This window comes from Homo sapiens, chromosome 3, assembly GCF_000001405.40.
Source record: "Homo sapiens chromosome 3, GRCh38.p14 Primary Assembly".
Classification (NCBI taxonomy): Eukaryota; Metazoa; Chordata; class Mammalia; order Primates; family Hominidae; genus Homo; species Homo sapiens.
In genome coordinates this window covers 40769767-40786825 of record NC_000003.12, presented here as the reverse complement: position 1 = coordinate 40786825, position 17059 = coordinate 40769767, and the positions used below count along the sequence as shown (strand labels likewise).

At 45.5% G+C, this 17059-nt stretch overlaps 1 long non-coding RNA gene across 5 annotated transcripts in view; it reads right to left on the bottom strand.

Moving 5' to 3' along the window:
* The window catches only part of LOC105377043 (uncharacterized), a 191504-nt gene that overhangs the window by 124537 nt on the left and 49908 nt on the right, over positions 1–17059 (bottom strand). For all 5 annotated transcript variants that reach the window (XR_007095886.1, XR_007095885.1, XR_940766.3 and 2 more), the window contains exon 2: positions 12840–12958. This is a non-coding gene — a long non-coding RNA (uncharacterized LOC105377043). The remainder of the gene's footprint in view (positions 1–12839; positions 12959–17059) is intronic.

Here is a 17059-nt window from a genome sequence, read left to right as displayed (position 1 = left end):
GAAAGCTGGAGTTTTCGTCTGTTATTGGTTGCTGGCTGCTCTTGGGGGTCCCTAACACTTCTTGCTTGTTCCCACATGGACTGATTGAAGTCCTCAGGCAAAGATTGCAGGTATTGTTCATGTGATTAGGTTGCATTATATGCCATGGTGGATGCTAAATAAGGAAGATTATTCAAGTGGGCCTGACCTAATCTCATGAGTCCTTTAAATCTGGGTCTTGAGATTAGAGACAGGGGACATAAGAGACCCAATATATTCATATAAGAGGGAATCATTGCAAGGGAGAGTCTCCACTGCCTACCTGAAGATGAAGGGGTCATATGGCATGCAGCAGGCAGCTGGCCTCTAGGAGCTGAGAACAAGTCCTGGTCAACAGCTAGCAAGAAGATGGAGACCTCAGTCCTGTAACTGAGGAACTGGATTCTGCCACTGAGTTCAATGAGAATGAGCTTGGATTTCTGCCCACCCCTCCCCGCCACCCTGAAACCTCCAGATAAGAAGGCACCCCTTAAAGTGGGACCTGAGCAAGGAACTCTGTCAAGATGGGCCAGGAATTTTGACCTACAGAACGATGAGCTAACAAATGGGTGTTATTAGGTTGGTGCAAATTGACGGCAGTTTTTGCCATTAAAAGTAATGGCAAGAATTACAATCACTTTTGCACCAACCTAAATATTTTAAATCCTTCGGTTTGTGGTAATTTGTTATGCAGCCATAGAAAACTGATACACTGACCCATAAAGCAATTCTAGACCTGTTTGCACTTGTTCTCACCAATGGTCACCAATGACTATCAAGGAGGAGCCGTTACCACTATAAGGAGAACCAAGTAGGAAGAAAAGCCTTGGGTATGAGGCAGGATTAGGGGATTGAAATGAAGAGGAAAGCGAGGCAGAGTAAGGCTGTGCTGGCTAACTGGATGAAACAGCTGCACAAGCAGAGGAACCACTCGGAACCCAAAGCAGTCGTCGGAACGCTTGGCAGCAGCTTGGTGGGGTGAGTCAGGAAAAGGGGGCTTCTTTCTTAAGAGCAAGAACTATGCTTGAGATCACTATTTGAAGGAAGAGACGCGAATACAGGACTTTTGTGAGAAAATATACAACTGGGATGACTCAAGGAGCTGAAATTTTTGAGATGAGTATAGCAATAGGAAGGTAATAGCTAACCTGAAGGAGAGAAAGATAAAGAAGAGGAGGAGGAGAAGAAGGAGAGGGGAATGGGGCTATAAGGAAAACAAAAAAGAAGGTGTCCACAATAAAAATGCCTATACAGGGCCAGGCATGGTGGCTCACGCCTGTAATCCCAGCACTTTGGGAGGCCAAGGCAGGTGGATCATGAGGTCAAGAGATCAAGACCATCCTGGCCAACCAATATGTTGAAATCCCGTCTCTACTAAAAATACAAAAATTAGCTGGGCGTAGCAGTGCATGCCTGTAGTCCCAGCTACTCGGGAGGCTGAGGCAAGAGAGTCGCTTGAACCCAGCAGGCGGAGGTTGCAGTGAGCTAAGATCATGCCACTGCACTCCAGCTCGGTTGACAGAGTGAGACTCCATCAAAAAAAAAAAAAAAGTCCGTATTAAAGTCTTTAAGCAATTTCTATTAATTTGTGTGTTTGGGAAGCAATTCAAAATAACACAAATACTTTTTTTAAACTCAATTGCTAGTGTACAAATTTTTGTTACTGCATACTAAATTAAAACATCCCTTAACACCAAAAAAAAAAATTATCTTTCTGCTTTAAATAAATAACTTTGTAGAGCAGTGGTTATCTTATTCCGTAACAGTCAACAAATCCACCATTTTGGTGAATTAACACATTTTCCCCTTATTAGAATGAAAGATCCCAAAGACATAAAAGAAGCAGGCATTAAAAAGGTGGTCTCCTTAGAATCTCTCAAATACAAGTCTTCCCCAGTATTAAACAACAAAATATCACTTAGGTCAGGATTTCTAGAAACAGAAGCTGAGACAGAAATTTCAAGGTACACAATTTATTGAAAGAAGCTCTTCAGGAGAAGGGGAACAGGATGGAGTGAGAAAGCAGCTAATCAAGGATGTGGTCTCAGATGGATACCAGCCTCAGTCTAGTCCCAAAAATGGGCTGGGAGCTAGCCTTTTGTAGCCCTATAGAAGTTAGTTATGCTGCATTTTGGGGCTGAGATGCAAAATCTCTGGTTCAGCCAAAGGCAATTCTCTCGAGCCACTCATAGGAGCTGGGGGAGGAGTGCGCAAGCAGGTAAAGGAAATCTGAGTGGGGTCTAACTCCAACTGTGAGCAGAGTTGGAATCTTTTCCCAGGAGTTTCCTCAACCTCCAGATAAATCAGAGGATAGAGACCAGGGATATCCAATTCCATATGCCAGAAGCATACAGGTGTCCAGCCCCAGCAAGACAGCTGTGACACCAGTTTTAGACCTGATCTTTGATTGTTCCCCCTTCCTGAGGGCCACAGTCATCACAGTTCTGGCCCTGACTTGTATGCATTCCTGTTAACTCCCAGTCCTCTCTACCACCTTAACCTCGGCTTAGAGTCTCTTGGCCGCACTATATCCTGGTGAGTCCTCATCTCTGCTGGAATCAGGTTTCAAGAGGCTGTAAGAATCTTTAGGCTTAGGAAAGAAATTATAGAACATTCGAATTTGAGGGACCTTCAGAGTCTCATGTAGTCTAACTTGTTCTTCGCAGTAGGAAAGGACGTTGCTACATGCTGGTTTAGTCTCTTGCCATAGAGTCCAAGAATTTTGTAAGCACAGACCAGCTCAGATGTCCACTCCTAGTATAAGTAACTGTTGTCATAGTTTTAAGGTACATGGAGCAGCCTTGTCCAGGCAGGGTCTGTGGGTAGAGCAGGCAATGAATATATCCTCCTCTGACCCAAAGGCAGCCTATCCATTGTCAAGCCAAGAGCCAATCAAATTTCCTCCTTCAAAGATATAAACTGAGAGATATATAGAGAGATTATGGTTAGCAAAAATGGGTACTCCCAGCACTCCAAAGAGATTATGGTGTAGAGAGAGACCAGAGGAGGTCATATGGGATTTTAGCAATATTTACAAGTCGGGTACATTTATAGCTTAAGGGGTATTCATAGAAAAACATTTATAATTATGGAGGCAATCATGAAAAATTTATGCAAGTTTCTGTTTGCTTGTACTTATTCAGATAGCAGAAAACCGGGTTCCTGGGCCCCCAGATGGGCATTTTGGTTAGGTCTTTTAAATAGACTGCTACTTCCAAATGACAATTAAACAATTTCTCAATTTCAATAAATCTAGCCTGCCTGTGAATTGAGTGAGGAATGGTGGAATTTGTCTAAGGAACTCAATGGTTTAATGCCTTTTGCCATGGAGATTATAGCTATTGCAGCATGGGGACAGGGCTGGCTTGAAAAAAGATGAGCCCTCATTGAGCATTCTGTTCAGGTAGCTGCCCATTATCCAGGGGGTGGATGATCCAGTTTGGGGATTTTTCATGCCTCTGGCTTCTCCTCCCTTCTACTGTCTGCCCTTTGGCCACATTACAGATCAAATTAGCATGTCTTTGAGAGGATAGAAGGGGAAGGGACAGGTAGAATTCAAATTGGTCAATTTTGTAGCTTGTTCACTCCTCTAATACATGAGATCAAAACCAAAGGCTAACGTGGGGTTTTGGATTATCAGTGGATTATATTTAATCTATACCAGACCTCCCCTCCATTACTAGAGAAATTGGAGTCTGATGGGGACTGTCTGTATTTCATATGGATGCCAGAGCTCAGCACATAGAGGCTTGTCCAGAATCTCAAACACATACATGTTAGAAGTTTGGAGCTGGAAGGGGACTTATAGATGATCCAGCCTTGGAAAATCGAAGCTCAGAAATCTGCAGTAATGTGCTCAAGGTCATACCATGAGATGGTTGCCAGTAGCTAGTGAACAACTTGAGAGGGGACCTGAAACCAGTCAATTTTAAAATGATGAAACTGGCAGGTTGATAAGTGAGATATTAATTAAATGTGCCCCTTCATGATCCCTGGTGGCTTCTTGTTGGGACTCTCCACCAAATAGAAACTAAAATCAAGATCATCCATTTCTGCAGACATCCCCCCAGCACTGAGAGCAGAGACTCCTAACACTAAAGTTGCTAAAGAACACAGCTCTGAGTTTGAGACTAGACAGACCTGATGCAAAGAGGTAGCAAGAGACAGGTTTTCCCTCTGCCTGAGGAGAGAAGAGTTTAAAGATCAAGAATGAGGAGCGATATATTCCATCGTACACACACAGAGGTTGTCATCATCACCATCATCATCATCATCATCATCATTATCATCATCATCAAAGGAAGGAGCAAGAAGTGGGAGAGGGTTCCTCATGAGGGCTGAGGACAGCTGAGAGAGAAGAGGAAGGCCTTTGCTTCTCTTCCAGAGGTTTCTGACAGTGGCAATCTCATGGAACTACCTCATTGGAGCCAGCAGAGTGTTAGAGAGCTGGTACAGGAGAGGTACAGGAGACGGGCATCAGGCTGTCTTCAGCCCCCAAGTGGTGTGGAGGAGACTCTGCAGGTCCCACATAGCCAGCAGAAAGAGTCAGCATGCTCTTGAAAGTTGCCAGATGAGTGAGGTAATTCAGGGAGACAAACACCAAAAAAGGGTGCAGCTTATATGCTGGTTGGGATGGGTAGAGGAAAGGAAGCATGACTGATTTGATTCTAAGGGAACTTTTTGGAAACCAGACCACCCACTTGCCACACCCAGAGTGTGAATTACATGAGCAACACTCCTCAGCAGGCTGCCCACGTCCAGTCCACCTGCATGGAGAAGCTGGTTACCACGCTGCATGCAGGCACCCAAAGTAGAAGAGGTCAAGGTGGCTGCTCCCTCCCACACATCCAGTCACGAAGACCTCCATTCACCACCTGCTCCTCAGAGACTAAGTTAGGACAAAAGCACGGGGAGAGGCAAGAAATCCCACAGTCATTTTGGGCTAGACTGTGACCAAATTGCAAATTGCAGATCCTAAGTTAACCCTATTAATGACTGGAGTCATTACATAAACTGGATGATGTTTCTTGCCACCCAGTAGAACTGGGGCTTATATTCCATGGGGAGAAAGAAAAGGAGTTTCGTCGCTGTACTTGGTGTCTGGGGGCTGCTTTAACTGTGAAATTCCATATCCAAGACATTCCCTTTATGGGTGAGCTGTCCTCTATCTCCTAAAAACCAAGCAAGAGAGATAGAACCACACACTCAACCTCCAGGGACAAACCGGTGGGAGGAAACGGATATTCAGTGGGCGCCTATTATGTCCCTGCCCTGTAGTAAACACCTTCGCCATCCTTAGCATCTTTTCTATTTGTAATATCTCTGCAAAGAGGAAGAGCTCATCCTTGTTTTAGGCAAATGCAGCTAGGACCTATGAGCTACATTAATATCCGGTCACGGTGATGCCAAAGCCCTTTCCTCTTCCGCCAAGCTGCCTCGGGGCAGAACTTAGAAAGGCTGAGAAACATCCTCATTCCTCCCTCCGCACACTCCCACCCTGAGTGCTTTAAGAGTAGGACAGTCAGCAGCTGAGCACACAAATGCAGCCCTGTCTGGGAACAGGGAGCCCAAGGGGATGCAGCGGTGGCCTTTGGAGGGGTCAGTGACAGCTGTGTAATCGGGGAAGTGCCTTGTCCAATTGGAAGCCCACCCTCCCTTTGAACTATGCGCAATCCCCTCTAGCCGCCGGCCCCCGGCTCCCTCCTCCCAGGCTCTGGGTTCAGTTTTTTCCTTGGCAAATCACACCATTCCGTTGGGAGAGTGGCTTGCTGAGTTTGGCAGTGTTGACACAGCAGTCTCTGGACACGTTCCGGGAAAGCAGGCTACAGCATGTGAGATGAATTTTCTCCTGAACTGTGTGGTTTCCAATGTGTTAGAAAAACAAACTTGGAGAAGTCTGTTTGGCGTGTGTGCATGTGTAGACCCCACTTCCGGAGTCGAAAATGCTGTTGGCCTTCGCCCCCGTTACTTTAAAAAAAAAAAAAGAAAAGAAAAAAGAAAAAAAAGTCCGTCCTCCCAGCGTCTGGTTCCCTGAAACCTGAGGCAGCGTGGACAATGGGAGCTCTTTCAAGTCGCAGCCCCAGCGGCCACGTGACTGCGCCTTTGTGCTGGGAGTGGAGGCAAGTGGAAGCTGCCTGGGTGTCTGGACATTGGGGCCCTTTCAGTGTTGCTGAGCTGCTGGGCCTCACCTCTCCACCGCCTGCCTCCAGGCCCTTGGCTACCCTTCTTCCTCCCAAACATCCAGTTCCTGTTCCCAAAATAACTGCACACAGGAAACTGCCTCGAGGTGGGGCCTCTGCAGTGGGTGAATTCTTAGTGCCCCTGCAGGGATCTCCGGACCTGGCAGGGCCAGTGAAGACAGCGACTGCCCATCACTGCTATGGTTCACAAGCTGTGATGCCAGGAGGGCCGGCAACACCCACTCTTCACGCTCCTCCCATCCCATAACTTCTGTTTTTCCCATAAAAGCAAGGCCAGGCAGCAGCCAAGTCTGACTCCTTTCACTGCTTTTCCGTCCTTCAGGAAAGATGTTCAAGTACTTTTGACCTTCAGATGCACTGGCCAGTAATGCCTTCTTTTTCGACAGAGACTGTGGTTACCTGGCCACAGGGCGATGAAAGCACTTCAGCTGGAAACTACTGCTCCCTCACCTCCCATCTTCCCATGAAACAAGCCAAAGAAGCCCCCTTTGTTGCAGAATAGAGAGGTCCCTGCTCCTCCTTGCCAGGGAGAGAGGAGGCAGGGCTGACTCTGGAATCAGAGTCCTGGAGGGTAGTCACCCTCGGCACTCTAAGTGATAGGACGCCCGCAAGGGGGTCGCTCGTCTAGATTTCATCAGTGTAGCTAAAGTAGGTGTTATCCAATTCTCTAAGCCAGTGGTTCTCAACCCCAGCGGCACACCAGGATCACTGGGGACCTTTCAATACTTCTTTACCCAAGCAACCTCCAAACCAAGAAAATAAGAATCTCCAGGGGGTAGGACCAGGCACTGGTATTTTTAAAAAACTCCCCAGATGGTTCCAGCATGCAGCCAAGTTTGAGAACCACTGGCTTAGCAGTCCTTCTCAAACTCTAATATATATGTGAACCACCTGGGATCTTGTTAAAAACATAAGTTCTGATTCAGCCTGAGATTCTGGAGGCCTAACAAGGAGTGCTGACTCCACCGATCTATGGACCACACCTCAAGCAGCCAGGCCTAAGAGTCTTTAATGATACCCTGTACCTCTCCCTGGTTGAATGGGCAGAAACAACAAGGAGATAGGATGGGAGGGCCTATAGAGGACTTGTGGACTTCTAGGTCTTGAAGGGATTGCTGAGATAGAAGTCACATCCATGCATTTGGGAAATATCTTCAATGGTGGAGAGATCTGGTTGTCAGTGTCTGAATTCGGGATAGAGTAAAATATAAACTTCACCTTTCAAAGCTTGGATAAGAGAATTGACATGGGAGGAAATCACCTCCTACCTTCTAGCTCTTTGCCTGACGCTAAGGATAGTGACAGTCTTACGCTGACCCACTGAGTGACATAAAGCCCTATTTGGGATTGTCAAAAACCGTCTGGCCTGAAGAGGGCCATGGGATCTCAGGGAGCTCAAGCAATGAGGGGGATGAGGCAAAGGTGGTTCCTCCTCTCAGGGTGTCTCGGTGTTTCAAATACAGCTGACGTGCTCTGTCTACAACAGGGAAATCCTTTTTGTTGCCTATTTCCTTTCTGATTCAGAGCTAGTCAGTGCCTTCAAAAATACAAATAACATCAGAGCCTCATAACAGGTTTCTCAGAGTTACACTGCCACAACATCCAGAGCCTTTGAGCCACAATAGCAAACCCTCTGGTCTAAAGAACCAAAGCAATAAGGCACTGACACAGGTGGGATTTGGGACTCATAGTTCTCCCCAAGCCTCATTTTCTCATTGGCAAGATGGGCCTAACAAAAGTATATACCTTTTCAGATTATATGAAAATTAAATAGTGTGTGTAAAGCACATTGCACAACAGTTGGCAAATAGTAAATGCTCAATAAATGCTAGCTGCTATAATAATAATTACTATTATTAAAATAATATTCATCTCATAGAACGTGAAAGCTAGCATAATGCTTAGTACATAGAAGATGTGCAATAAACAGTTGCAAAATCTAAGCCAAAGATAAGTTTTTCTTTTATGCTCTCTTTTGCTTTCTTAAGGTATCTATCAGCCTTTAGTTGGTTTCCATCTTCCTGCCCCTTCTTTAATCACCCTGCAAATGCAGAGAGAAGGTTTAGAATGCAAATTCCCCCTGGAAGAAGTGTGACAACTGCCTGCTTTACAGAAAAGAGATCTTCCTGGTGGTGGGGGGAGGAAAGGATAGGACTTGAGAAAGGGGCGCTTATTTACAGAGACCCTGTAAGTGAAGAGGACAATACCAGGTGCTTTATAGACATTACCTCAGTCAATGCCAGTGTCCTTTCCTCCTTACATACAAAGGAAGGGGCAGCATCTGCTTCTTAAGCTGAAATACCTCCCTTTGCATGATAACACCCTTTGCACACATCCATGCTCTCAGAGTATGGTTTGAGGAATCATTTCTTCATCACTGGAAGTTTCTGCCTTTGTTGGAAAACACGTATTTCCCCCTTAATTCTTGGAGGAGTAAGTCTGGAGGAGTAAGTCCAGCAGGCTCAGAGTGCCTCTTTGAATTTAAATACACAGGAAGACTTCTAGGGAAAGGATGGAGATAGGCAGGAGCCATGGCTCTGCAATATGATAGCACAGGGCATAAGGAATTGCAGTGTTCCCTCTCGGAGTTCTCCTTCATGAAAACTGTGTGTAGGAGGGATCTGCTTTCTGCCAAGCGTGGTCTCTGCATGTCTGGAGACATTTTGGGACGGGAAGTAGTGGGGCAGACCTTCTGAAGACCACAGAACCTCAAGGGAGGAAAGCCATCTGTGATGGCTCATTTTATCTCAATCTGACTTGGTTAAGGAATGCCCAGATAGCTGGTAGAACATCACTTTGGGGTTTGCCTGTGAGAGTGTTTCAGGAATAAATGAGCATTTTTATCAGTACACGGAGTAAAGAAGATTCCCCTCACCAATGTGCCATCATCCAATCCATTGAGGGCCCTGCTGGGACAGAAAGGCAGAGGAAGTCTGAATTTGCTCTTTGCTTAGGCTGAGACTTCCATCTTCTCCTTCCCTCAGACATCAGTGCCCCTAGTTTTTGAGCCTTCTCACTCAGACTGGGACCTATGCCACTGGCTCTCCTGGTTCTCAGGCCTTTAAGTTTGGACTGGACCTACGTGACCTGGGCTTCTAGTTTGCAATAAGCAGATTGTGGAACTCCTCAGCCTTCATAATGGCATGAGACAATCTTCCTAATACATCTTTTTCTGTATATCTAGATATAGTCTATTGGTCCTAGTTCTCTAGAGAACCCTGACTACTACTCCATCTGCAGGGTGGGTCATGCTTGGCCTTGATTATTAGAAGCAGTGTGATGTGGAGTGATTATTAGAAGCAGAGTGATGCAGAGTTCAGTGTAGTGGCTGGCCCTGGGTCTGGCCCCACCCAGCCCCATGGATTCATGTGATCGCTGGAAGAAAGAGTGCTACGAGGGAAAATGGAAAGGGCTGTTGAATGAAGAGTGGTGAGGCATTGGAGCACGAGCAGCCCAGCTCTGGCTGTCCTTGGCCTCTGTGTGAGGCAGAGTGGAGAGGTGCCTTCATCTTCTCCATGTTGCCACAGGCCATTATGCATTTTGTCATATGGAAGGCTCTAGCACTTTCTCTGGCTAGGGTGGCAGCTATCAGTGTAGGGCAAAAGCAAAACCTGGAAGAGGTGGCCATGCCCAGAAAGCATGGCAGTGCACAGGACAGGCTGCGGTGCCCAGCAGGAGGGAAGGATGAAGGTGCCCACTATGCAGAGAAGGACCCACTGGAAGTGGGAGTGGTGACCAGGAGAAACCCCAGTGACCAGTAAGAGGAAAGAACAGCAGTGCCCTGCAGAGGCCCAGCCTGGACCATAAGCCAGAGAAAGAGACAAAGGAGCCTGGGGGAATGCTGTGTGGCAGCTGAATGGACTTGGGCTCAAGCTCCCAAAAGACTCCAATAAATACAATATGGGAGGCTTTGACAGGACCTGAACTCCTGTCATGGCTGGTGGTGAGTGGAGTGATTTCTGCTGAAGTCTCATTTTTAACCCTGGGGTTCCTGGAATGCTGAAATATTTGTCACTACCCTAATATCATTGGGATGAAGCCTCTTTTCTGTACATGGGGGTGAGCACAGCACTCACGCCTTTATCCTCCCCACCCCCTCCCTCCCTTTCTCCTTTATCTCTTTGGATTTTTGTCTGCCTCTGTCACCATCCCTCCATCTCCATTGTCTGTCCCTCTCATCCCTGCCTCTATCCTATTCACCCTATTTCCCATTCCCTACACTATTGCCTGACTCATGGTAGGCATTTAACAATTTTTTTAACTTCATATTACGGAAATTTTCAAACATACACAAAAGTTACAGAATAATATAAGGAACCCTCATGATCCCATCACCGAGTTTTAATAATCTTTCATTGACATCCTCACCCACCCCTCCCTGCATGTTATTTTGAAACAAGCTCAGGCATTGTATCATTTTACCCCTAAACATTTCAGAAAGTGTCTCTAAAAGATAATGGCTCAATTAAAACATAACAATACCATTAACACACTCAATAGTTAGCAATAATTTCTTGCTATTATCAAACATTGAATCAGTGCTTCAGATTTATTCAACTGACTCCGCTTTATTTTTTTTTTTTACCATTTGTTCATTCAGATCAGCATCTAAATGAGATTCATACATTGTGTTGTGTTAATAAGTCTCGTTAGGCTATCGTCACCAAATATTTTTTGGCTGACCACATCTCTTCTCTTTCTGTTTCTCTGTGTCTTTCTATTTTTCTGTCTTCCCTTCTATAAACATCTTGGTTTCTGCAGGCTTGGTTTCTGTCTGTCTATGTCTGTTTCTGTGTAACTTTATCTCTCTGTGAATATTTTTCTGTCTCTCTGTGCCTTTATCTGTATCTTACTCTCCTCTCTCTCTTTTTCTCTCTCCCTCCTTCCCAAGTCCTTCTGTCTTTGTGTCTCAAATGCGCGCACACACACACACACACACACACACACACACACAGCCAGGATATCCTGTAAGGGAGTCCTGCACACACCTGTGGCTGAAAGTGTATGTACTTGGATCTGAAGAAATAAACAAGGTCCCTAGCTTAAACATGAGTACAGCTTTATCGACCTTCTGCTTTTTGTGCTACATCCCTTCCACTGGCTTTCTCGAGACTCTCTTGTTATTGAGTCCTCCTTCAATAACCTGCACATAAGAGACAGCACCAAAACAAATTAACAAATGTGATGGCTGAATGTCCTGCACAGATGTCCATGGTGTTTATTACTTTATCTGTTGTTCCAAGTAAAATTCCTGAAGGATCACGGATTGGTGAATTCCTAAAACACTGTTTGTAAAGAAAGCTGAATAGAATGCTTGTCGACTAAGTGCTACTTCACATCAATCATAGGGATGGCTCTCAGTTTTGAAAGAAATCTTTTACAAAGTCTTCGATTATTTGTTAGAGCTGGAGGCAACAAACCCAGTGTTTTTCCATTCTTTTTTGTAGTGGAATTCTTTTTTGAAAAAAGTCTTACATAAAACCCAAATATATAAAATGCATAAAAACAGAACTTGGTAAATGTGGGTTGGTGGGTGGAGGGTGAATTGCTATGAAAAATAACTTAAACAAAGCAAAATAACAAAAACTGACCCGACCAAACTTATTTTGCAAAGAAGTGTGCATTAGTATAGAACCAACAGCAGAATTCAGCACCTCCTACCTTACTCCTTGCAGGCAAGTTCAGAATTTCACAGAGACCTTGAGTCTAGGGCTTTTAATATTTTTCAGGTAACCATTTTGGAAAATGAACTGAGCCAAATAGTCATTTTGGAGGTTTCAAGTCCCAGAAACCTTGAGCCATGGCCCCTTTGTTTCCCAGGGCAGAATCTGTTGATTGACTCCTTGGCAAATGACTATTAGCAGAACAACTTTAGAGTCCAATTATCAAGGTCAGAATTGCAGGATCTGAGTCTGCCTCTTATGAGAGTTGCCTGTGCTTGTGGGAAGGTGAGTCCTGTATGTTTGGATACAGACTGGAGAGTCAAAGATGAGAATAGTGACTCTTTTTGATTAGGAACAGTTGCCATGAACCCACTTTGAAATGGAAATTCCAAGTGATGGGAAGAAGCACGCTGGATGAGAGGCAGCTTGGATGCCTGGTCTGCAGCTACATACCTGGGACCCTAGAGAACCCACAGACGAAGCTGTAAACCTAGAAGAGACTCAAAGTGCTTGCTGTCTGCATATGTGCATCACCAGGGGTGCTGCCAATGAGAGCTGCTGGGGAGGCAGCAGTCTGGTTCACACTGAAGGTTGACTGTAAGTAAGCTCAGGGGGAATTACTCCATACAGCTGACAGATGAGAAAATTTACTCAGCTCAATATTGGATTGAGTTTTGGGGACCAGTGAGGTATACTAGAAAACACATGTACTTCAAGGCTAGAAAGACTGAGTGCATATCCCAACACCATCACTTTCTAACTGAGTGACATTGGGACTATTACTTAACCTGCTAAGCCTTGGTTGCCTCGTCTATAAATAAGGATGATGCCACTTACCTAGTTCACAGCATGTTTGCACAGTTGACTCTCAGCAGCCTTGGAAAACTGGTCTTGCAATGCCTGCTAGTCAGTGAAGAAACTAAGATCCAAGAGGAGTCCCCTTCTCAATCTCACTTACCTGGTGAGTGTCCCAGATGAGCAGATCTTCGCTTCAATCCTGGTCCACGATTTATCCACCACCCCATGCTGCCTCTTGTCTAATCTTCAGTTGGACAATGAAAACACAGAGGCCGAGAACTGCAATAAAGAACAGCCAAGATTCAAATTTACAGAGAAAGAAAGTATATTGGTAGTTGCCTGGGGCTGGGGTGGGACTGGACATTAATTGTAAGTTGGCACAAGGGATCATATTGGGGCATGAAAACCTCATAAAATTGATTTATGGTGATTGTTGTACAACTCTATAAATTTACTAAAAATGCATTGAAGTATACACCAGAAATGTATGAATTTTATGATATGTAAAATATACTTTGCTAAAGCTGTTTTAAAAAGCCAAGATTACAAAATATATATTTTCTTGGAAAGAATTATCTATTTTACCAATCATATTTGGAAGTAATTCATATTAGTTTATTTCCTTTAAAATGTGTGTCCTGTAATTACTGATTTGAAAAAATAGAAGGGACAACTTTCCTCTACAGTAACCGTTCATTAGCAACACAGTTAATATCGGCTCCATTTTATTCTCCTCATTTGTAAGACTACAGTTTGGCAGCCATGAGATTGGTCAATATTAGAAGTACCACTTGTTAATAGCAGGTACAGGGGGTGGCACATTGTGGGCTCTCACTAGTAGCAGGGTTAGAGATCTGGAAACTCCTACATACCCTAAGATCACAGGATAAGGAATTAGCAGTCCGCATGGCTGCTGTGACAACTAGCAATACTGTATGAAGGCATGTACCACCCTGACACTCAATAAATCAAGGCAATTAGCATTTTTATACCAATCCAGGGCTACTGAGTCCACTGGACTTCAGTTGTGCAGCAGAAACCCTCACTCTCATATCCCCATTCTAGCTGGATGAATTCTAGCCTTTTATTTCAATTTAATTTTTTTTTGAGACAGGGTCTTGTTCTGTTGCCCAGGTTGAAGGGCAGTGGCACGATCTTGGCTCACTGCCTCCTGGGTTCAAGCAATTCTTGTGCCTCAGCCACGCGAGTAGCTGGGATTACAGACAAGCACCACCACGCCAGGCTAATTTTTTTGTATTTTTAGTAGAGACAGGGTTCCACCATGTTGGCCAGGCTGATCTTGAACTCCTGGCCTCATGTGATCCACCTATCTCGGCCTCCCAAAGTGCTGGGATTATAGGTGTGAGCCACTGCACCTGGCCAAATACTAGCCTTTTAGAAGGTTGCATTCTTGTCAGTAACATATGGGAGTGTTTCATCACTAATTCTCGCCAATGAAGGATGAGAAGGGGAAAATTCCAGCAAGGTTGTATTTTGAGGAAGAGCAACACTTGCAGGGCTGCAAATGTGAAGTTCATAGTTAGTATTTTGTGGTGGCTGATTCCATTTCTTCATTTAATTGTAATTGAAAATGTGACAAAGCAACTCTTCGTTGTTGTTGTTGTTGTTTTTGAGATGTAGTCTCACTCTGTCACCCAGGCTGGAGTGCAGTGGCGCGATCTCGGCTCACTGCAAGCTCCGCCTCCTGGCTTCACACCATTCTCCTGCCTCAGCCTCCCGAGTAGCTGGGACTACAGGTGCCCGCCACCACGCCCGGCTAACTTTTTGTATTTTTAATAGAGACGGGGTTTCACCATGTTAGCCAGGATGGTCTCGATTTCCTGACCTCGTGATCCACCTGCCTCAGCCTGGGATTACAGGCGTGAGCCACCGCGCCCAGCATTGTTGTTGTTGTTGCTTAAAGGAAGTGATTTTTGTGGTTTGGTGACCCTGGTACATTTTTCAGAGTGGCCTGGCCACACATTGGTACTGGTTGGTGCCTTTGGTTGGAACAGCCAGTTTCAATGTTGGTATGTGGGATAGCATATTACTGCAGCCCTGGGAGATATAAAGTGTATCTTCAGGGTCTTAGAGGCTAACACTGAGAAGCTGTAAGCTTTTCTTTTTCTTGGCTTTGATAGCAATGACCATTGACCTAACACCAGGAATCCTGTGTCTCCAGTGGAGAGTGAAACCAGGATTAAAGTGGAAAATCTTGGGGGCCCAGGTCACCACATGTACACTCCAGGGGTGCCTGTTGCATTCCTTATCTGTGAATGGAGCCTGCTGGGCTGACCATGGAGGACCTGAGGGAGGGGGCCGAGAGGTCAGACTGGCTGATTGGATGTCTGTGTTCCAGATTCCTGCATCCATGAGTCTGAGACATTCTTGCTCCTCACTGTATTCCATATGGTTGCCCCTCTGCCTTTATGGGGATACTCCTGACATTTATTGTCTCCTGCATGCCAGGCACTGTGTTGAGCTGTTGCACTACTGTTAACTTACTCAGTTCCCACTACAGCCAGCTGAGGTTTGTCTACCTTTCTGTCTATTGAGGGTCTCAGTGGGGTTGTGTATGTACACATGCAGATATATGTGTATGTGTGTGAATATACATACATGAATGTATATTGCGTGTATATGTATACATGAATATTCCAAATTGCAACAACTCTACCTACTTTATTGCCAGAAATTCTCATAACTTTTTCTCCAAAATACAAAGTGCTCACTGCTTTGGCCTGCGGAAGGGCTGGATGGCGGTAGCCTTACTTGAAACTGAGCTCAGCAACTTCTGGCTCCCAACATCCTTGCCAGCCTCTGGCTTCAGTTACTTCAGTGTCTGCCAGGCTGCTGGGGGGAAGGGAGAGTCAGCGATCTGTGGTGCTTTTTAAACCTTCTGGCAGGATCACAGGAATTTGGTTTTTACCAAACCATCCCCTCCCACTGGCACTGAGATCTTACTCCTCAACCCCACATTTACTGCTAAGCTGCCTGCTTCTGAAAGCTCAGGTGGAGACCCTTCTTTATTATCCTGAGGATTTCCCATGGTGAGAAACAGGACACTCATCCCTCTGTATCATCCTTGGTGAGGGGTGCTCCACAACTGACCGCCTGAGCCCCTAGTGTCACAGCTCATACACAGGTTACAACAATTACAGTACACAGTGGTGGCCATTTGGTCTGGCACGTGCCCTTGGGGTGGTGGATCTGGGCATATGCTATATCTGGGACCAGCAGTCCTCTCCAGTGAACCCTCAAGGAATGCGGTTTACTGATACAGATGTCCTAAGCCCTCAGGGAGGCAGCCCTCTCTTGTAACTACTTTCCTATAATTCGATTTACCTTTGAAACTCGATGTCAAGTGAGTGACCAGCATCCCAGTCCCTTTCTCCCAGAGTTTTCATGGCCTCTGGGAAAATTTTTGCAGCAGAAATTTATTAGGAAGGGAGATCTGCCCTCCTCTAGGAGGCATCATTTAGTCCCTAAATACTGAGTGTACTAGAAAAGAATACTGTACTCCACTCACCCACATCTTTTGATTCTTAGGCCTTCAGTCACCAAAATTTAGACTCTCGGTTAGAAAACTTTAGCTCAACGAGGTTAAGTTACTGGCCCAAGATGTTATGACTTATCAAGGGCTTTGCATCAGCCTGCATTGATTCTAGGACCAGCTGTGGCTATAAAGAAAAAGAAACCTCAGATGTGTTTGGAGCTCTTGGTACTATTCAGCTTCCTGCAGAAGCAGGGGAACAAGGATTTGAGGGCAAGTTGTTTATTCAGGAAATGATCTCAGAAAGCACCAGTCAAAAACTAGGGAAGTAAGAGAAGCAGAGAGAACAAGCAGGGTACATAAATAAGCAGGTTATCACGGGAGCAAACAGGGCTTTGAGGAAGCGCTGGAGACTGTAAAGGGTAGATCCTCAAACTCGTGCATGCGTCAGAATCACCTGGAAGGGATATTGAAACTGACTGCTGGGCCCCACCCTCAGAGTTTCTGATGAGTAGGTCTGAAGTGAGTGGGACCTGAAAATCTGAATTTCTTTTAGGTTCCCAGGTGATGCTGATGCTGCTGGCCCTGGGACCATACTTTTGAGAGTAACAGTGAAGCACATGCCTCAGAGTGGTCCTGCCTAGGGGTAAAGAATTGCATATTCATCTGCCACTTCTCATCTCTCATTGGCTGAAGGCTGCTCCTGGGATGGTTAACTCCTTGGTGCCTTGTGTACCCACCATGCATAGCCCTGTAGCCAGAGGAAGCACTCAGGCACCGCTGTAAGGAGCCACAGAGCGTCAGAGAACAGAGAGTGCTGGGGCCACACCACCTGAAGGAATGGTGTATCTCTGTGGCCCCAGGTCATAATATCCTAGTTAGGGAGG